Source organism: Homo sapiens, chromosome 9 (genome assembly GCF_000001405.40).
Source record: "Homo sapiens chromosome 9, GRCh38.p14 Primary Assembly".
Taxonomy (NCBI): Eukaryota; Metazoa; Chordata; class Mammalia; order Primates; family Hominidae; genus Homo; species Homo sapiens.
The window spans coordinates 113,609,894-113,630,666 of NC_000009.12; the positions used below are offsets into that span (position 1 = coordinate 113,609,894).

The following is a 20,773-nucleotide window of genomic DNA, read 5'->3' on the forward strand; positions in this document are numbered from 1 at the left end:
GGGCTATTTTTAGTTGCTGGTTCCCGGCAGGCCTGGCCTGGTTTGAGCCTGGATGGAGAACAATGAGCCATTGAACCTTATCGAGTCCCTGGGCCCTGTAAGGCCAGGAGAAGGGTAAATGATAGAGCGAGTGGGGGCAGTGCTCAGAGGTGGACAGAGGTTGCCTGGCCACCTCCCCCATGCCGACCGGCAGGAAAAGCTTCTACCCAAGCTCTTTGTTAGACTTCCCGTGGGGCCAGGTGCGGAGCCGGCAAGTATTTTGGGAATGCTGTGTTTGTTAGCAGCGGCGGCAGCCTTTCCAACATTTCTTGAGCCCGTCTCGTGGGTCAGACACGGTGCTGAGCACTGCGTGTCCTCTCATATTTATCAGCCTCATTGTTCACATGTGGAAACTGAGGCCCAGTTAAAAGAGGCCAGGAACCTGCTCACACACAGCAAATAAGAGGAGGAGTCGGGATTCAAACCCAGGCCCTCTCTGTCTCCTTCCAGAGTGTGGACACTGCAGAGCCACCCAAACCAGCCTGCCACCTCTCAGGCCCCCCCGGGACTGGTGGGCTTCAGTCTCTCCTCTTTAACAACTCTGACTCCATGAATGACCTCAGGCAAGTCACTTGTCTTCCCTGGCCTTGGTTTACTCATTGGTAAAATGTGGGGGAGCCTTTCATTCAGGGCGGTATGGGATGGTGCTTCACAGCTGGGGAGGGGACCAGCATGGTCTGGCCTCCACCTTCCCTCGTCTGGTGATTTAAAAAGCCCACGAAGCACAGTTCTGTTCATTGCAGACACAAAAGGTCTTCACCCAGGAAACACATTCTGGGCGTAGTGGCTTCTAGGCCCTGAGGGATGGAGGCATCCGATCTGCCCAGTGGAATTGGGGAATTCAGGAATTCACAGTCTGGAAGGGAAGACAGGCTCATTGACAGCACAATGAGCAAGATGCATGAGAAACATCTACATGAGTCTGCTACGGTGGTCAAAACACAGTCCCAAGCCTGGTGGTGCCTTAAGCAGCAGTAGTCTATTTCCTCACAGTTCTGGAGGCTGGAAGTCCAGGATCCAGGTGTGGCAGGGTTGGTTTCTTCTGAGGCTGCTCTCTTTGGCTTGTCGTTGGCCATCTTCTCCCTGTGCCTTCATGGGTCTTCCCTTGCACCCTTCTGTGTCCTCATCTCCTCTTCTTATAAGGACATCAGTCACATTGGCTTAGGAAGACAGTCATTCCCACTCTATTGACCTCACACTAACTTAATGACCTCTGTAAATACAGTGACATTCTCCAGGACTGGGAGTTAGGACTTCAACATTGGAAATGTGGGAGACACCTTTCATTCCATAGCAATGGCGATTTAAAATGACTGACAGTAGTCACTTTTGCATATTGGCAGATAGTAAATCCTGTCAGGTGAGGCCCCTCCTGGGATCCCCAAGGAGCGGAAGTTCTGAATAGCTTTGGCATTAGAAATGAGAAGGGTGAGGGGACCTGAGAAGGGAGAAGGAGTTTCCAGAACACTCTGAGAGGTTAGGTTTCCCGACTCCCAGCTTGTGAGAGATTCTCTGTGAGGAAAGATGGTTGACAAATTCCTAAGAAGCATCATGTCTGACCCTGAATGTCAAGTTTTTTGGTGGCCAGCATTGGAATTGCTGTTATCCAAGTTAACTCAGCATTGCAAGGCCCTTGGGATAAGGTGGGGGTTGGGGTGTCTCCAGAATGGAGCCCAGCAGGCTGCTGGGCAGAGGACAGCTGCAGGTGCTGAGAGCAAGCAGGACTGGCAGGTGGACATCCACATTTATAGGAACTTGGAGAGGACACACTGGGATGGTGGGTGGGGAGTAGTGCTATTTCATCCTGATAGGTCAGGAGTGACAGGAGGATTTGGGGACACCACGCAGCTCCCCCTGGGAATAAGGTACCTATACTGGCCTGGAGGGGTGGGCATCAGGGAAGGCTTCCTGGAAGAGGTAAAGACCAAGGTGGATCTGGACATGTGTCATAGATTGCTAGAGAAGGGCAGTGGCATTCTGAGCAAGAGACCCTGTGAGGCAGAAGCCTGGAGGTTCTGCAGACTCCGGATCGCATCTTCCTGTGGGCCAGACCCCAAACTAAGCTCTTCCCATGGTGACGAAAGCAGGCGGCCATGTGAGAGCTGGGAGCTGGCTGTGGCTTGGGTGTGGGGTGCAGGCGAGACTACAGGGGAAGCTGGCCTCACCAAGAGGGGCCTGGAATGCCCAGCTGCAGACTAGGACTTCATGCTAAATGCAACAGTGCCCTGCAGGTGTGTGTGTGGTGTGGCATGTGTGTAAATATGTATGGGTATCATCCATTTATCTGATATGATACATATGGTGTATATGTTGTGTTACGTGTGGGGAGCCTGGCAGCTTTGAGCAGGGGAGAGCCGAGCGAGATGACTTGAGAGAGGGAGGGCCTGATGGTATTTGATGAGTCCCCAGTGCCCAGCGCGGGGTAGACACGGAGTGGTGAGCAGGACTATGGCATTTGATGTGGTCAGCTGATAGGTCAGGTAGGGCTACTCAGGGCCTGGCGGTTGGTGTGGATGCCAGGTGACATGTTGACCAGTGGCCCTCCAGTTTCTGGAAGGACTTGGTGGTGACTTTCCAAGAATCACTGTTTCTCCCCTGCAGCTTCTGCTGGGGTCAGGAGGGGAACCTTTGGACCAGTCAAGTCCAATTTATAACCCGTGGTTGATCAGAGTAGCCGAAGACTGGAACAGGACACACGTGGATTGAATACCTCCCTTGTGCCAGGGCTGTGCCAAGGACTTCATGCACCGGCACATGTTCCTCCCAACCATCCCAGGAGGGAATGGGTGGCAGCCCCATTTTACAGAGGAAGAAACTGAGGCTCAGGGAGGGAGAAGGATTTATCCAAGGCCAAAGGACTGGGGAAGCATTGAATCCGGGCTTTTTTTTTTTTTTTTAAAGCCCATCTTCCAAGAAACTCCCCTGGGCCCTATCTGGGCTGCCTCGGTTTCCAAGAAATTGGAGGGTGACCCTGTAGCAGCCCTTCCTGCCTGGGGACAGAAGGGGCTTTGTGAGGAAGAGGGTGCCTGGCCTGGCCGAGCTGCCTGGGAAAGGTGGAGAGTTGGGCAGGGCAAAGGCCCACGACCCTGGCGTGCCCACTTGCCTCCTGGCTCTGACTCTGGGCAGGGCCTGTGTCTCTGCAGACAGGAAAGAACAGGCACTGCCCCTTGGTGGAGCTAAACCCCTGGACCCTGGAAGCTGCCGCCAACTTCCCTACCTGATCCCCAAAGCCAGGAAGTTACCCTCTTAGCTCAGGGGCGTACCTTTACCTCTGTCTCCCATCTGAGCCTGTTTCCTTTGATACAGTAGGGCAATGATACTCCCTTGATGGGTGAGTGCAAGAGGGAAATAAGGCTGCGTTTGCAGAGAGCTCAGGCCCCCGAGAGCCAGCTCCAGGTGCAGTTGCTGGGCTGTAATGATGTCTCTGGGCGTGTTGTGGTTTTCGTTGTCACAGACTTACCACTTCTCTGCAGGCTGGCTCATTGGTACTGAATGGCCTTAAATTCCAGGTTGACCATGAGGAGGAGGAAGGGTGTGGGCTCTGATTCCTGTCCTGTCGGTGATGCTGGGCCAAGTGCTTCTCTGCACTTCGGCTTTGCGGCCTGCAGCTGTTTGGGCTGGAGGATTTTAAAACTGGGTGCCACCAGAGGCAAAGACTGATCTGACATCAGGGGCAGGGGCTGGTGGGGAGCAAGTTCATAAAATTGGTAGTAGCCAACTGTGGTGGCGCACACCTGTAATCCCAGCTATTCGGGAGGCTGAGGCAGGAGACTCGCCTGAACCCAGGAGGCGGAGGTTGCAGTGAGCCCAGATCATGCCACTGCACTCCAGTCCGGGCAACAGAGCCCTGTCTCAAAAAAAAAAAAAAAAAGAAAAGGGCTCTTTTCCTCCATCTACCTTCTCTCCCCATGGTGCTTTGCTCAACAGATTGGCCTGGAGCATCTCTAAAAGGTGCCACTTTGAAAAGTGTGCTTGGGGGAAGCAGGGACACTCTCCCCTACACAACCCCCTCCCCCAGTTCCAGACGTGCCTCTGGCTGGTACCAAGAATGGCCTCTGATTACAGCATCCACACACGCCCACATCAGACACACAACACACATTAGAGACACGCAGCCTGTGTCAGACACACAGCACACATAGCACATATGCTACACAACACACATCAGACACAACACATACATACAGCATACATCAAACACACAACACACACAACATACATTGACACACACAACACACATAGTCACAGCACACATCACACATAAAGCATGCATCAAACACACAGCGTGTATCATACAGACACAACACACACAGCACATTTCAAACACATACGACACACATATACACCCCATCTTATATGAAACATACGTCAAACACATGCACCACACACATACACAACACAAATTATACTACAAATACACACAGTACACATAGAAACACAACACACAACCACATAACACAACACATACATCATATATGTTATACAAATAGGGGACATACACATACCTCACTCACAGATTTATACACATATCACACCACACACACACACACCAAACACACACACACACAAACATACCAGCAGAGCACTGCTGCATTTAGTATCTTTTGATTGAGAAAATGCATTTCAACAAAAGCTCTAAGAGTTCAGAGAGGTCTTAAAATGATTTGGTCTTTCATTCCTCCCAACAGAATCTTCAGACAATTGAAAACCAGCCATTCAAAGATGCATCAAACACGTTCTGTATTCCAGTCCCAGATGTGCCCAGGTCTTCTGGATCCAGGCACCCCAGTGGGAATGCGGCACATCCCAGGGCTCTGGAGTGCGAGTACGGCAACCCCTGGTTCAGGCCACCATTCAGCTACCTGCTTCCAGTGGGAGATTGGGCTGGAGCCACTGGTGGCTCCAAGTCCCTCTTGCTCCTTCACTGTTCTTACTCAGGCATGTGGCTCTCCTCTCCACATCACATGCCTGAGGTTGTGTGTGTGTGTGCACATTTGTGTTTGTATGTGTGTCGGCGAGGGAGGCGGGCATCGTGCCGGCAGCCTCTCACTCTGCCCTAACTATGAGCTCACAAACCGCCATCCTGAAGGATCCCCCTGCAGAGAAACTTCCCGGCCAGCTCCACCCAGAAGAGAGAGCAGATGGAAAATTGGAGCAAGCCCTCATCTTGGGTCAGGGAAGAAAAGATTCTTTTTTTCCCCTTCTCTCTAAAAATATGCTCAGGGCTTTTTTGAGCCTTGATGCAATAGAAACCAGCTGTGGCCCAGAACGCCCCCGCAGCCACTGCCCAGGGAAAAGGAAAACAGAAACAGCCATTGGAGGCGGGATCAATGCCTGTGTTTGGGCTCCAGGCCCAGCCTCTAGCCACCTCTGGCCTGGAATTGTGTCCCAAATGGGCACCAAACAGTCCCTGTTTATTCGTCCTGTTGTGGGCTCAGGGCCCCAGGAGTCACTTAGCCCTTCCTCTTTCAATTCTTGGCGCAGAGGATGAGAAGATGACAAGAAGTGGGCGTTTCTTAAACTCTGCACCCAGGTATTTCCCCATCTCGTGGGGGAGACAGATGGGCACATGAGGTACCCAGATACAGCCTGAGGCTACCTCCTCTGGTAGCCTAGGGGAGGGAGAGGCCATGTTTAACCTGGGGAGCAGGAAGGCTTCCTGGAGGAGGTGACCTTCAGATGGTCTTAAAGGAAGGAGCAGGGAAATTCTAGGATGGGGGACCAGAATCAGAAAGGCCAGGAGATGGGGACAGTCATTACTATGTGGTGACCAGGATGGAAGGCAAAGGTGGGGGAATGAGCGGGAGCCGCTGGAGAGGAAGGTTGGGACCCTGGATGCTGGGTGAGATGTTCACTGGGTGATGGAGAGCTGTGGAAGGTTCTTGAACAAAGGAGTGACTTCTCTAGATCTTGGAGGATATTTGGAGGGGGATGCTGGTTACCTCATTGGAGCTGAGAGCTTTGTCAAGGAGTCCCTTAGAGAAGAAGCCACACCTTCTGAGTTTCCTGGTACTCTGGCTCATGCCTTTGGAGAGGTACTAGTGTGGACAGGTGCTATGGATTTGGAGTCAGGAGATCTGGCTTCTACTTCTGACTCTGCTGTGTGAACTTGTGTGCCCTTGAATAGACTGTCCTTCCCAGGCCTCTAATTTCCCACCTGCAAGAAGGGATCATGAGGGCTTTCCGTTTTTCCGGAATGTCATTGCTGGAGGGTTCGTTGGTGTCCAGCGCCTGAGCTCTGCTGGACGGAGGCGGAAGGGGGACTCCAGACTGGGGAAGGGACTGCCCACATTCACCCAGCACTATCAGCAGCCAGCAGTGTGGCGACCCGGGCACCCAGGCTCCAGGCTCTGGAGGAGGATTTCCTGCTGTGGACTTGTGGTTCTTGGAGCCCCGGGCGCTGGCCTCTGGCTACAGCTCTGTCCCCAGAGAGCTGCCTCTCCCATCTGCAGCTCAGGCCCCTGCAAGTGTCCTGTGCTGGAACCCGGGTGGAGGTGCCTGCTCTTCGCTCCTCGTTCCTGGAAGGAACTCCAAGGGGTGCCAGACGGGGCCCTCCTGTCATCTTGTCTCATTCCCTCCAGCAGCAGCTCTGTGAGGCTGAGTTTGTCACCCTCTTTTGTAGAAGACAAAACTGAGGCTGGAGAGGTGGATTGACTTCTCCCAAGACCTGCAGCTGGTACTGAGCAGAGCTGGGATGTGAGCCCTGTCTGTCTGCCCCTGGCTGCTCTGCCACGGGGGCCTCTCCTTCCTGCCGCACTCCTGCTCCCTCCAGCCAGATCTGAGCTCTGCCAGGGCATCTTATTCACTGTCAGATCTCAGGGCCCCAGGCTGGGCATGTAGTGGGAGCTTAGGAAATGTTTTTTGGAATGGATGCCTGGCCTACCATTGTGGGGTGGAAAATCCAGGCCGGGCCGGTGGCTCCACCTCCTTGACCAGAATCCTTTGCTGGCCGGAAGAGTTCACCATATTGGTGAACCTCAGTATCATGGCCTTTCACCATCTTCCTGTTCCCACGTGGCAACCAAGGGAGGGAATGTGGTCTCCCTCCCTCCCTGATGGCCAGCGCCCCCTGCCCTCCAACCACGGCCAGCCCCACAAGGTGAAGGGCCCCAGGGCAGACACTTGGAGGTAAACGGAGGTGGCAGTCCGTAGTTGCCTCAGACCAGGGAGCCCAGAGGAGAGGCTGAGAGAGGGCCTGCTACAGCTGCCAAGGGTGGTTGGGGACCCCTGAAAAATTAGAAGGGGCCCCGCAAGGTCAGACCAGCTAAAAGTCCTTACGTGGTAAGCATATGTACATTGCAGGCCTGCTGCTTCCTGGACCAACTCTTCCATGGCCCTGGGTGTCACCCAGTGTTTCTGGAGCCTCTGAGTGGTGCCCGCTGCCTGGCAGCAGCCCCTGGAGGTAGGCACTTCCTGGCATCATGGCAGATCTGGCATCCTCTTGCCCTGGGCTTCTCGCAGTCTTGCAACCCACGTTCCCCAGCCAGCACGGAATTCCCCTTTCTCTGCCTCTGAGTGCACCCCTCCTTTCTGCCTTGCTTGCTTTCCTGTCTTACCTTGCTTTTGGTCCTGATACCCTCTCTACCTTCCTCTGTAGTATCTCTGAGACCCACAGCAACCTGATGTCCCAGAGAAATAATACTAATAACAATAACAACATCACCGACGATGTTTTCAGTACATTGTATAAGCGCTGTCGGTGCCAGCAGCTGTGCGAAATGCTTTGCACTCACTATCTCCTTTAATCCTCACAATAAGCCTAAGAAGTAGCTAATTATGCAGATTCCTGACAAAAAACACATGGCCCAGTTGAAGGATGCAATTCTGTGGGTGTCATTGTGTGTTGGAATTCCCTGGGGCGTATCAGATACTCCTGCTGCCTGTATCCTACTCCCAGGGGTTGTGGTTTAATGGCTCTGGGGAGTGGCCTGGGATTGGGAATTTTTAAGAGATCCCAGAACATTCTAATATGCACACAGGTTTGGGAACCACCAGTTTTCCTGAAGAGAGTTTAATGAAGGGACTTTAAAAAAGTTTTATTGAGGTATAATTGGCACACAATAAACTGCACATATTCAAAACATACAATTTGATGATAAGTTTTTAAAAACCATCTTAACCATTTTAAGTGTATCATTCCACAGTATATTTTTAAGTATATTCATATATAAGTATATTCATATTGTTTGAGGATCTCCAGACCTTTTTCATCCTGTAAAACCAAGACCGTACCCATTAAACAACTCCCCGTTTCCCCTCCCCCAGCCCCTGGCAACCACCATTCTACTTTCTGTCTCTGTGACTTTGATGACTCCAGGTACCTCGTAGAAGAGGAATCACACAGGCCGGGCACAGTGACCACACCCATAATCCCAGCACTTTGGGAGGCCGAGGTAGGTGGATCACCTGAGGTCAGGAGTTCGAGACCAGCCTGGCCAACATGGCGAAACCCCATCTCTACTAAAAAGACAAAAAAAAATTTAGCTGGACATAGTGGCGCACGTCTATAATCCCAGCTACTCGGGTGGCTGAGGCATAGAATCGCTTGACCTAGGAGGCGGAGGTTGCAGTGAGCTGAGATCATGCCACTGCACTCCAGCCTGGGTAATAGAGCAAGACTCCATCTCAAAAAACAAACAAAAAAAAAAGGAAGTGGAATTACACGAATGTCTTTTTGTGACTGACTGATTTCACTAGCATAAGGTCCTTGAGGTTCATCCTTGTCGCATATGGCAGGATTTCCTCCCTTTTTAAGGCTGAACAATATTCCGTTGTATGTATGTACCACATTTTCTTTATCCATTCATCTGTCCATGAGCATTGAGGTGACTTCCATCTCTTGGCTATTGTGAATAATGCTGCTATGAACACGGGGTTCCAGGCATCTCTTTGAGACCTTGCTGTTAATTATTTTGAATATATATGCCCAGAATTGGGATTGCTGGGTCATGTGGTAATTCTATTTTTAGTTTTTTGAGGAACCACTCTACTGTTTTCTATATCAGCCACACCATTCTACAATCCCACCCACAGCGCACAAGGGTTCCAATTTCCCCACATCCTCGCCAACACTTGCTATTTTGTTTCTTGGATAGTAGCCATCCTCATGGGTGTGAAGTACTAGCTCATTATGAACTTGATTTGCATTTCTCTAATGATGAATGGTGCTGAGCATCTTTTCATGTGCTTGTCGGCTGTTTGTAAATCATCTTTGGAGAAATAATGAAAGGACCTGGTAGGGGATGATGATGCACCAGAGACTAGTGAAAGCAGCACGTTGTAACCACCTCTAGCTCTGTGGGCCAGAGGAGAGCACTGGGTACCAGAATCACAGATCAGGAGCTGTGGAAGGCGCTGCCCGACAGGATGGGGGACCCTGGGAGAGGGATGCAGCCACATCCAAACTGTGGCCCAGAAGAGGGAGTGGGAAAAGTCCTCGACCTCTCTGTCTTCCTGCTGTCTTCCAATATCCTACCTGGGTGAGGTCAGCCTCCTGGGGATCAGAGCAGGGCAGGGAGGGGTGAGAATGAATCCACTGGTGGTGGGGGCAAGGGGCAAATAGAATCACCCAAAAAAGAGGTATATGTTGCTGACTCCATTTTACAGTCGGGGAAACTGAGAGTCATGTTTGGCACAGTTTAGAGGGACTTGGACCAAGATTTGGACTTTGCTCTAGGTGATGCCAGCCTGATTATTCTAACCTGTAAGCTACACCACCTTCTGGCAGTGGGCAGTGCCCAATGGGGGAGGGTGCGGGGGCAGTGCCCTTCCCGCCAGATGCCACCCCTCCCTTGAGCTTGGTCGAGGGTGATCTGCCTTCTCCTTCCTTCCTCTTCCATTTAGAAAGCAACGGGTCTGAAAGGTAATTCTGTTCTTGATGAGGGTGCAGGCAGCAGAGGGAATTGTCATCCTGCTGAAGACACACAGCTCTTCCATGCTCTACCCTATGTGTAATTTGTTCTTATCTGCTCCTGGAGCCACCACCTGCTACAGTGTAAAGAGACCCCACAGACTCTCTGGATCAAACTACTCACTGTCCAGAAGGAGAAAATGAGGTCCTATGTCTGTGGCTAGAACCCAGGCCTCTGGGGAGCAACCCAGGGCTCCATCCAGGGTGACCTGAGCCTGCTCTGCTCATCAGAGCCAGTCTTTACCACCCTTCATATCCCGGGAGCCCACAGGTAGAAAGATGGGCATTGCAGGTCACCGTGGTTCCCCCACTGAAGCAAGTTCCCTGGCTCGCGATTAGCCAGTGCTCTGCTGGTTCATGATGCGCTCCAAATGCTAGACCAAGAAAGAAACTGGGTCGGTGGGCAGGACACAGGACCAGCGCTCTGGGAGGAGAGCTGTTCTCAAGCAGTTTGGTGGCATCAGAGCCTCTGTGTGGTCAGTCAAGCAGGGCAGCCAATTTCCTCTCCTTTCAGCCCTAACTCTGGACTCCTGTACCTGGAGGGGCTCCCTTTGTGCTCCTGCAGCCCAGAAGCCCTCCGAGGCTTGACATGAAAGAGTCGCGGGATCTTGGACTGTTCCGGTGGAAGGGCTCCTAGCAAAACCCAGATGTTTTCTCTTCTTGTATGGATGGGAGGACCGAAGTCCAGAGAAGTGGAATAACTTGCCCAGGGTTGTGCTGAGATTTGTGAAGGTGCCGGATGCTGGTGTGCTGGTGGCTGGCATGCTCTGAGCCCTTCCTTCCCGCTGTTTCCCTGGAGTTCTGCTTGGCAACCACCCGCCTGCATTTTTGCAAAGTGATGTCATCTGCAGATAATGGTTTTTCCGTTCCTGGTGGAGCAGGAGTTCCAGATACAGTGCTTCGGGGGAGGGGCTCAAGAGAGCTGATTGTGCACTCCTCAGGCAAGTGGGGGCTGCATAGACCCCCTCCCCTCTGACAGTCACATCTCAGTTGTAAGGCAAGGCACCGTCTCAGGCTTCCTGGACTCCGGAACCTGGAATGACCAAAATGGCAGAGGCCCCAGAGACAAGCCTCCCCTGCCTCCTCCTTGTAGAGTTGGGAATCTGAGGCCCAGAGAGGGCAGAGCCTTGCCCAAGCTCACACAGCATTTACAGGCAAAACCTTGACTCACATCCCGACTCCTAACATCTGTGGCCACTTGCCCGTGGTTGGGGGTTTTTCACCCTCAACACCGTTGACATTTTGGGCCAAGGAGTTTTGTTGTGGGGGCAGTCCCTTTCATGGCAGGATGTTTGGCAGCATCCCTGGCCTCGACCTCCTACAGGCCAGTAGCACCCCTCTCCAGTTCTCAAATCCAGACACTGCCAAATGTCTTTCACCTAAGTTGGGGTGGGAGAAAGTAACCCTCCAGCTCCTAAGACCTTTATCCACTGCCATAGGCAGGAGAGGTTTCTTGAGTCCAAGCCCAAAGGGTGCTTTGTCTGAGGCTCTGACTTAACGTCAGGCACCTTCAGGATGGGAGGCAGGCCTGGAGGGGGCTATGAGGGGCTGGAGATGGTCCAGGCCCTCCTTCTGGTTAGGAACACTGCTTCCTCTGATCACTTTTCTTGGAGCAAAACTGCCGATTTATTTTCCTGGGGAAATAAAAATAAATGCTGGCTGTTGTAATCTCATCCCTGATCCCATCTGGAAAAAGCAGGCTCATGAATCTTGGCCGCCTGAGCTCTGAGGACTGTGTCTGGCGGAACCTGGAGTTACAATGGGCCTTCGAACATCGGAACAGTCACGGCTGACATTTCCTTTCCCGTTACATGGCTCCTTGGAATGTGAGCCCCAGGGGGCCGTCCGTGGGCAGGCGGAATTTGGTGGAAAGAAGTGCTGCACGGGCCGGAGGCCAGCTCAGCTTCTGACTTGCTGTGTGACTTTGGGCCACTTTTCTGTTCGTTTCTGGGCCTTGATTTCTCCATCTGCAGAATGAGGGGAGCCACGTTCCTCAACAAGGGGTCCATGGACCACCTTGTATCAGAACCATTTAGGGAATGTGTTTATGGCTATTCCTGATATTTCTGATTCCTCTTCCAGACCTCCTAAAGTTTTTATGCATCTCTAAGTGATTTCGATATATATAAGTTTTGGGACCCACAACACCAAGGACTTTGAACTTTCCACCCAGTTTCAAGTTTGAACACATCACAGTTCTTCAGCCTCCTTCCCCCTCATAACGAAGTGTAGAGTTATGAAGCTAGAGGGTAAAATTATGGGGTGGGCTGGAACTGGGCATTGCTCCTAACAATTATCTGCTTTCAAACTCTTGGCAGGGTCTCTGGGGTCCTTGATCCAACTGAAATCACTGTTAAAGCACTTTATTCCTCCAGTAATGAAACTCGAGCTGCTAGTTACAGAGTTTGGTTTCAAAATTGTGCCATTTATTATTTTTGTTGGATTGGCTTATAAACCCTCATATAGTCATACATCATTTATAATGCATTATTCCATGAGAATGCATTTTCCAGATGAGATTTATTTTTTCTGTTAAAAACTTAAAACTGTTCTTTTTTTTTTTTTAAATGGCAGTCTTTCGCCATGTGTTACCTATTTATACCACCTTAAGTGAAGGTCAGGAAATGCAATTTTACTTATTCTCAATGCTCCAGGGTTGTCATTGTGAGTTTTAACTACTGTATGCATTGATGTAAATTTTAGGGACTCCAAAACTCACTGTGCCTGAACTATGAATGTCCCCCAAGCTGCTTAGCCCTTGTGTCTGCTTTTAAAAGTTCTGCTTTGCTTCTATATTTTTAAAGATTTCTTCCTCATGAGATATCAGCAGTTACTTCTCACCACGTTATCATGACTCCTTTGGATGAAAAACCAATAACCAGTGTGTATCAGGATTGTCTGTAGTGTAAGAGTTCATAATCAATGAATGAGAGGACTCTCTGATGAGTCAGGGATGTGGATTTTTGACATTTGTTTTGGCAGCTGAGAATAAGGGGTAGTTTTTTTCTTTCTAATTTTCACCCCAATAGCAGCTGCTTTCTGAGAGTTTTCTAGATAAATGTGAAATGAGTGTAGATCGATTTTTCCATGTAACTAATTTACATTCTGGGTGAACTCATTTTGCTTCTGACTTAGAGGTGCTTTCATTTCCTTCTCATCTGCACCCTGTTCTTGGAGAAGCTGCTCCACCCCTAGCCCATGATACATGATGCATGACCCAGCCCACTGGGCCCCCTGATGCCACCTGGGCCAATCAGATTTTCCAGTCAGGAAATTTGCAATTGAGATTCAGAGCTGGAAAGAGTCACCTGCTCTGATGGGAGCTGCATTTGTGGACTGTGACTCAGAGGCTGAGGCCCCAGGGAGCCGACCCCATGGGCCCTGGGCAAGCCCAGAGTGAATGTGGAAGCCGGGCTGTGGAGGTTCCCTGAGCAGACAGTCCGGGTGTGTGTGCGTGTGTTTGTCTGTGTGTGTGCGCACATGCTGGAGGATGGGGCAGAACGTAGGGTCCCAAGCCCCTGAGGGAGGGGCTTGTCCTAATCAAGTCACAGAAATCAGGGCAGGGAGAGCATGAAAGAGTCTTGTTCCCCTCTCTGCATTTGGGAGATTCAGGCCCCGGGGAGAGGAGAGACTGACCCATGATCATCCAGAGGGGACTTGGTTAAGCTGGTCCTGAGCTCTGCCATGCATGTTCTGTTTTCCTACCCTGGCAGCTGGCTCAGAGCATGGATAGGCCTTGTCTCTCTTTTCTTTCTTTCTGCCAAATTCTTTTCTGTTGGGAATCTGAACAGCGGGTAGATGCAGTCATGGCATGATTTGCTCCAAATATCTCCCCAACAGGTGGTCACGGTGTCTACAATTCCATCACCAGATCTTCCATTTCCAGGAGTAACCCTGGGCAGGTGTATACCATGTGTCTTGTTTACAGTGGGGATTAATAGTTCAAGGAGCCCAAGGTAAGGAAACCCATATTTGATGAATCTCCAGACAATTTATACCCACCACACAGCCTTATGAAGATAGCCCAATCACGCCTATTTTACAGAGGGGAAAACTGAAGTTCTGAGAGGTGAGCTGACTTGCCCAAGGTCACATAGCACGTCAAAATCGGGGCTCACATCTGCATCCAGAGTCCAGGCTCTTTGCCCTAAAGCAAGCTCATCTGATCTGGGAGCTGGGGATAGGCTGAGGAGGCGAGCGGGTGACAAAATGAACTTGTCCCATGGAGTCATTCAGTGGGAAAAGTTGTGGTTTGGGAATTAGGGCCAAATGGCTCCTTAACCTTGGGCATCATGGTGGGCCTCAATTTCCTTACCTCTGCAGGAGGGAAGGACCGGATGTACTCTGCAATCCCAGAAAACTCAATGGGCTGAGGCAGGAGGACCTACTGGCCATTGAAGACTGTCCACTCCTGGTCCAGATTCCAAGTGACCAGGCAGAAAGAGCATGGACTTTGGAGTTTGATTGCCTGGCTTTAAATCCCCCTGCTCCACTCGCTACTGTGGTGTGGACTCAAGTAGGTTAATTAACTGCTCCAGCTGCAGTTTTCTCATCTATAAAATGGGGATAATAATAGTATCTACCTCATAGTAATGATTAAATAAGTTAATGCCTGTAAAGCCGCGACAGTGCTGGATACCTAGGAAATGCTTAATGCATTTTTTTTTTTCTGAGATGGAGTCTTGCTCTGTCACCCAGGCTGGAGTGCAGTGGCGTGATCTCGGCTCACTGCAAGGTCCGCCTGCCAGGTTCACGCCATTCTCCTGCCTCAGCCTCCCAAGTAGCTGGGACTACAGGCGCCCGCCACCACGCCCGGCTAATTTTTTTGTATTTTTATTAGAGATGGGGTTTCACCGTGTTAGCCAGGATGGTCTCGATCTCCTGACCTTGTGATCCGCCCGCCTCGGCCTCCCACTTAATGCATATTAATTATTGCTATCATTCCTGACACCCTGTAGTGTGCCCCTCGGGGATGAGAGGGTTTAACTGAACATCTGTCTCCTCCCGGATGCGGTGGCAACCCTGGGATCTGGCAGCAGTCCCCTGTGGGCTTTTTTCCTGGGCAAAGTGAGTCCATCATCACTCAGACATGACACACGGCCTGGCCACCCCCTCTGGGGCCACAGGCAGCCGATCCTGGGCTAAAAATACCAGTCTCATGAATGGAGCCAGGGAGGCCATTCTGGGATCCACAATTAGTGTTTGTGTTAAAACCCATTCTCTGACTCTCCACCCCTTATGTGCTGCTGATTCCGGGGAGACTGACATTTTCAGCTCCCAACACTCACTCAGGGTTTGGGGGTTTGGGAACGGAAAGGAAGGGGAGTACATCTGAAGGGTCCTTTAACAAGTAGGGAGGCAGCCGGTCACCCAATTCCCCTACTACCGAGTCGGGTAGGAATTAAAATTCCCCTTTATAGTGGAGGAAATGGATGTTTCCAGAGATTGCAGCCTGGGGATATATAGTTAAGTCTGAGTTCTGGGCCAGTGCTCCCTCCAAAGTCTCTTCTCCCTCCACCTGGTGCCACCCAACAGCCCTTTGGGGAGGGGTCCTGACTTCGGGGGTGGGAGCTGACCTCGGGCATCTTCCATCTCTCCTGAGACTTGAGGTACAGTCATCCTATGAAGGATCAGAGCTGGAAAGTGGGGGCCTGGCTCAGGGAGCAGCAGAACCAGAGCAGAAGCTGAGCTGGAGATGCCCTGATGGGGCCGAGGTGGAGGCTCAGGCCTGGGATGGGCAGTTGGACCAGCAGGTCCAAAACAGCAGAAGCCAAGGCAGGCAGCGGTCTTGGAGATGCCCTCTGACCTGCCGTGGACTGGAGCCTCTAAGATGCTTCCTCCTGAGGCTGGAGCTGATGACTGGCATCCTTGGGATGTAACCTGCGTGCAGCCGGCAGGTGAGGACGTCATGCAGGGCAGGAGCTCAGGCCCCCCAGAGGGGGTCACACCTGGCCGGGCCACTGCCCTGTGAACATCCTTTCAAGGGACCCTTTCTCTTGCTTGTTTGTGGCCCCGCTAGACTGTAAGCTCTTGAGGACAGAGCCATTGGGAATGAATGACAAGGTGAGTCTGGGGGCCCAGGACCCCAGACAGTAGCTGTCCTTACTGAGAGAAGGGTTAGGGCTCCCGGAGGCATGGAGAAGGATGAAGGCCCAACTTACTCCACTTGGGGACCACCCTGATCACAGAAAACACTGCCTGCTTCCCTCACCCTCAGGGACAGCTATGCCCAAAGGGAGGGCCTCAGCCTCTGGCTGGAGAAAAAGCAGATAGTAAAGATGGTGGCCCCTGTGCTTTCAAGTTTCTCAAGCCAGATCCCGACTAGGCTCACAGTGTGTATTTGGGACTTTTAGAATTTGGGAAGTTGAGACCTATGAAAGTTTGAGAACCTGGGAAACTTCAGAGCTTTCAGGATCTTTTGAAATCTTGGACATTTTAGAATCTGGAGCATCTTTAAACCTGGGGAACTTTAAGAAGCTTGAACTCTTCTGACGTTGTGGAATTTGAGGGATTTCATTTTGGGGCTCTGTTGGCCTTGGAGTGGATGCTGTCCTCTTGGTGTAGAGGAGGACATTCGTCAGCAGACCTGAGCCCTCTCCTCCCACCGGCCCTCAGAGCCCAGTATTTCAAATATCTCGACGTTATGCAGTTTTAAACTTCAGATTTTTGAAATGAAATTGTATTAGTTATCTTGAATGTTCGATGTTGTGTTTCTCAAACATGTGTTGGCCTACTGGATTTCTAAGTTTCTGGCTCTTTCTTTTGCAAATGATTTTTCCTCTCATGTCACAGATTCAACAAATATTCATGCTGGAATGGGATGCAGAAGTCACCTACTTTCAGAGATGGGGAAACTGAGACCCAGAGAGGGCACAGCCTTTTCTCGGGGGCCTCCAGTGACTCAGAGTCAAATCTGTGCTTCTTGGCTCCTGGATCTCTGAGCTGCACCCACTGGACCCCTATGCCAACCCCAGCACCCCTGTTCTCCATGGCGGCCCCGCCCTGAGGATTTCCTATGCCTTTCTACAGAGCTTTCTCCTTCTCCTAGATCCCTTTTCTGCAAAACGAGGCTGGGGAGTTCTGAGCCAAGCCCAGGCCCACGTGCCTGGAACCAGAGACAGCGTAAGGAGCAGACACTGCCAGGTCACTTGCAGCAGACTCCAGGAGGAAATGAGGGAAACAGAACCTCAGCCGTAGCCTAGCCAGGGCTCTCAGAGCCTAGAAAGCTCTTAGGAGAAGTGGAGAGTTGTTCAGATCCAGGCTAATTTGTCATCTCCAGCCCTTCTCTGGTGATCAGCTTGCCTCTTCCTCTACCTGCCCCTATAGGTAGAGGAAGCTTGCCCTTCCTCTCCTGCATCTTCTCCTCCCCTTTCTGTCACATGCCTTCTGCTTCTTGAGGCCTCTGCCTCATTGTAGTTTCTCTTGCTGTCCAGTTCCGGTGAGCTCATGGCTTCTGTAGCCCAGTTTCTCTTTGCTTCCCTTTGTGAATCTTTCCTGCTTCGACTCTCACTCCCAACTTCTTAACTTACACTCAATGCTCCCAGAGGGAGGACTTGATTGGTTTGGAAGTCCCCCACCAGGACAGGCCAAGGATTAAGTGAGTTCTTATATGAGGTCTCTGATTCCCTAACTCCAGCTAGGTGTTCAATTATTCAGTTCAATTCTGACACCAACTCCAGGAGTTAGTGCAGACCCCAAGGTTTAGGGCTCAGCCCCACAGGGCTGTCCCCCTTTAGCCACCAGTCACACACAAGTCCAGGGACCATCTGTACATCTGACTGCCTGGCTCTGAATTTCAGGGTTCCCATAACCTCCCCTTCTAGTTAGATCATTCACTAGAACAATTCACAAAACTCAGCAAGTGCTTTACTTACTATTACCAGTGGATTATAAAGGATACTACTCAAGAACAGACTCATGGAAGAGATGCAGGGAACAAAACATGGGGGATTTGCACAAAGCTTCCACGCCCTCCCAGCGAGTCCCTGTGTTCACCAGCCCTGAAGCTCCCAAACCCTGTTGTTTAGGGGTTTTTCTTGCAGTTTCATTATGATGGATTAAATCATTGGCCATTGGCGATTGAATTCAATCTCCAGCCCATCTTACCCCCATGGAGGCTGTAGGGGGTGTGGGGGTAACCAGCCCTCATCATGAAGCTCTCTAGGGCTCCTCCATAAGTCATCTCATTAGCATATGAAAGGCAATACGTTCAGGGGTTTTAGGAGCTCTGTGCCAGGAATTAGAGACCAAGACCAAATATTTATATTTTATACCACACCAGGCCACTTCTCAGCCCACTGGCCAACTTCAAGATTGACTGCTGTTAGGTCACAATACCCACTTGGCCAGGGGTAGAGATCACTCAGTATCATGTGTGGTGTAAGCTGTTGAGATTAGGCATAGACAGTGGCAGGTGACTGACGGGCTGGACAACTGACAGATGCTCACCTTGGCCAGTGTAGGCACAGATAGGGCAGGACCCCATTTGTTTAAGTGTTCCATCCTCAGAAATCCCCTCTCCCCCACTTCTTCCTTCTCTTCATTCCTTCTTTGCTATTTTTAAATGGCACATTGGAAATAAAACAATTGTCAATGTATTCAGCCCTCCCGCAGCGGGCTGCCAATCAGCACAGTCCAGCCTACCTCCGCTTCCATTCCCTCCACCTTAGCCCTCACCTCCCTCTTTGCTCTTGCCCCCGTCTCCGGGCACTCAGGTCTCTGTTAGTTTCTCAACAGCTTTGCATATGCTGTTCCCTCTATTTGGAATGCTCTTCCCCATCTCCCACCCCTGGCTGGCTTTTCCTGGCCACCCACTCTGAATGATGCGCTCCTCTTACATATGTGCCCTGTGTGTTTCTTTACTGATACTTGTCAGCCTGCTGATCGACTTATTTGCACAAACATTTAATAAATCACTGGACCGTCTGCTGTAGGCGGGCAGAGATCAGATCTGTTTTGTCTTGCTCAGTACTGTGCAATAACACCTAGAACAGGCCTGGCTTGGTAGATAGCTATTGAATAAGTGAGTGAATGGATGAATGTCATTGAATCAGAGATGATTATGATTCACAAAGGCTTATATGTATGAGTGAATTTGAAAAAATAGAAACAACTTGAATATTCAATAATAGCCAATTAAAAATATAGTAACCTACAATGGAATTTGCATGGCAATTAAAATCATAATTTAAAAGCATATCCATGACCAACAGCATTAGTCGTTAGGCAAATGCAAATCAAAACCATGATGAATTGCCACTTTACACTCACTAGGATGGCTGTAACTTTTAAAAAAGGGAAAATAACTGTTTTTGGTGAGGATGTGGAGAAATTGGAAGTGGATGTGGAATCTGGCAGTTCCTCAAAAAACTAAACATAGATTTACCATAGGGGCCGGGCACGGTGGCTCATGTTTGTAATCCCAGCACTTTGGGAGTTATGAGGCAGGTGGATCACCTGAGGTCAGGAGTTCAAGACCAGCCTGACCAAGATGGTGAAACCCCATCTCTACTAAAAATACAAAAATTAGCCAGGTGTGTTGGCACGTGCCCATAATCCCAGCTACTCAGGAGGCTGAGGCAGGAGAATTGCTTGAACCCGGGAGGCAGAGGTTGCAATGAGCCAAGATAGCGCCACTGCACTCCAGCCTGTGCAACAGAGCCGGACTCCGTCTCAAAAAGAGAAAAAAATAAAAAATATTGACCACAGGACTCAGAAATTTCACTCCGAGGTATAGATCCAAGAGAAGTGGAAATATATTCACGCAAAAACCTGTAAATGAATGCTCACAGCACATGATTAATAATTTTCAAAGAGTAGAAAAAACTCAAATGTTGATCAACTGCTAAAGGGATACACAAAATGTGATCTGTCTAAACAGTGGAGTATTATTTAGCCATAAAAAAGAATGAAGTACTGATTTATGCTACAACTTGAAATGTTTAACCTTGAAAGTATTATGCCAAATGAAAGAAGCCAGTTACAAATAGTCAAATGTTGTAGAATTCCAATTATATAACCTATCCAGGTGCCAAATGCAGACAGATAGAAAGCAGATTCGTTGCCAGGAAATGAGGGGAAGGGGAGTTGGGGATTGGCTAGTATTAGGTCAGTGCAGAAGTAATTGCGGTTTTGGCCACTTAAAATAAAAAACGTCAAAAACTGCAATTACTTTTGCACCGACCTGTTAATAGGTATAAGATTTCTTTTGGGGATGATAGAAATGTTCTAGAATTAGGTAGTGGTGATAGTTGTACAACATAGTATACTAAAAGCCACTGAATTGTACAATTTATTTATTTATTTATTGTGACAGAATCTCACTCTGTTGCCCAGACTGGAGTGCAGTGGCACCATCTTGGTTCACTGCAACCTCTGCCTCCTGGATTCAAGTGATTCTTTCTGCCTCAGTCTCCTGAGTAGCTGGGATTACAGGCGCCCACCATCATGCCTAGCTAATGGCTAATTTTTATATTTTTAGTACAGACGAGGTTTCACCATGTTGGCCAGGCTGGTCTCGAACTCCTGACCTCAGGTGATCCACCCGCTGTGGCCTCCCAAAGTGCTGGAATTACAGGCGTGAGCCACCGTGCCAGGCCTGAATTGTACACTTTAAAGTAGTGAGTTTTACGTTATGTGAATTGTATCTCAAAAAATAAATTAAAAGTATGTGCAATGAGAGAAGACGGTGTTCATGGTTTATTAAAGGGAAACCACAAGGTTACATAACTTAGCTGCAATATCTACCATACTCTATACATACGAGAATTCCTAAAAAGTAACAGTATTAGAATATGTGTGTGTGTGTGTGTGTGTGTGTGTGCG

The 20,773-nt window shown here is 50.1% G+C and overlaps 1 long non-coding RNA gene across 4 annotated transcripts, besides 6 other annotated features; it reads left to right on the forward strand.

Moving 5' to 3' along the window:
* Positions 3,024 to 3,525: an enhancer, noted in NCBI's record as "H3K27ac hESC enhancer chr9:116375197-116375698 (GRCh37/hg19 assembly coordinates)". NCBI's record gives its function as "activates a minimal SCP1, AML or CMV promoter by ChIP-STARR-seq in naive H9 embryonic stem cells {active_cell/tissue: H9 hESC(naive)}" and the evidence as "EXISTENCE:reporter gene assay evidence [ECO:0000049][PMID:30033119]".
* Positions 5,070 to 18,898, forward strand: LOC105376222 (uncharacterized). 4 transcript variants are annotated; one of them, XR_007061739.1, is made up of 4 exons: positions 5,070 to 5,572; positions 7,342 to 14,465; positions 15,552 to 15,846; positions 16,742 to 18,898. It is a non-coding gene; the product is annotated as an uncharacterized LOC105376222 (long non-coding RNA). The 4 variants fall into 4 exon arrangements; XR_001746902.2 differs by lacking the exon at positions 5,070 to 5,572 and having other exon boundaries at positions 13,426 to 13,905; positions 14,273 to 14,465; XR_007061738.1 differs by lacking the exons at positions 5,070 to 5,572; positions 16,742 to 18,898 and having other exon boundaries at positions 8,178 to 8,432; positions 13,790 to 13,905; positions 14,273 to 16,729.
* Positions 7,441 to 7,490: an enhancer, noted in NCBI's record as "active region_28852". NCBI's record gives its function as "activates an Ori minimal core promoter by ATAC-STARR-seq in GM12878 lymphoblastoid cells {active_cell/tissue: GM12878}" and the evidence as "EXISTENCE:reporter gene assay evidence [ECO:0000049][PMID:35858748]".
* Positions 11,032 to 11,903: an enhancer, noted in NCBI's record as "H3K27ac-H3K4me1 hESC enhancer chr9:116383205-116384076 (GRCh37/hg19 assembly coordinates)". NCBI's record gives its function as "activates a minimal SCP1, AML or CMV promoter by ChIP-STARR-seq in primed H9 embryonic stem cells {active_cell/tissue: H9 hESC(primed)}" and the evidence as "EXISTENCE:reporter gene assay evidence [ECO:0000049][PMID:30033119]".
* Positions 12,775 to 13,646: an enhancer, noted in NCBI's record as "NANOG-H3K27ac-H3K4me1 hESC enhancer chr9:116384948-116385819 (GRCh37/hg19 assembly coordinates)". NCBI's record gives its function as "activates a minimal SCP1, AML or CMV promoter by ChIP-STARR-seq in naive H9 embryonic stem cells {active_cell/tissue: H9 hESC(naive)}" and the evidence as "EXISTENCE:reporter gene assay evidence [ECO:0000049][PMID:30033119]".
* Positions 13,076 to 13,370: a silencer, noted in NCBI's record as "tiled region #10953; HepG2 Repressive DNase matched - State 8:EnhW". NCBI's record gives its function as "represses a minimal TATA promoter and a strong SV40 promoter by Sharpr-MPRA in HepG2 cells {active_cell/tissue: HepG2}" and the evidence as "EXISTENCE:reporter gene assay evidence [ECO:0000049][PMID:27701403]".
* Positions 13,324 to 13,383: an enhancer, noted in NCBI's record as "active region_28853". NCBI's record gives its function as "activates an Ori minimal core promoter by ATAC-STARR-seq in GM12878 lymphoblastoid cells {active_cell/tissue: GM12878}" and the evidence as "EXISTENCE:reporter gene assay evidence [ECO:0000049][PMID:35858748]".
* Positions 18,899 to 20,773: the final 1,875 nt, after the last annotated feature.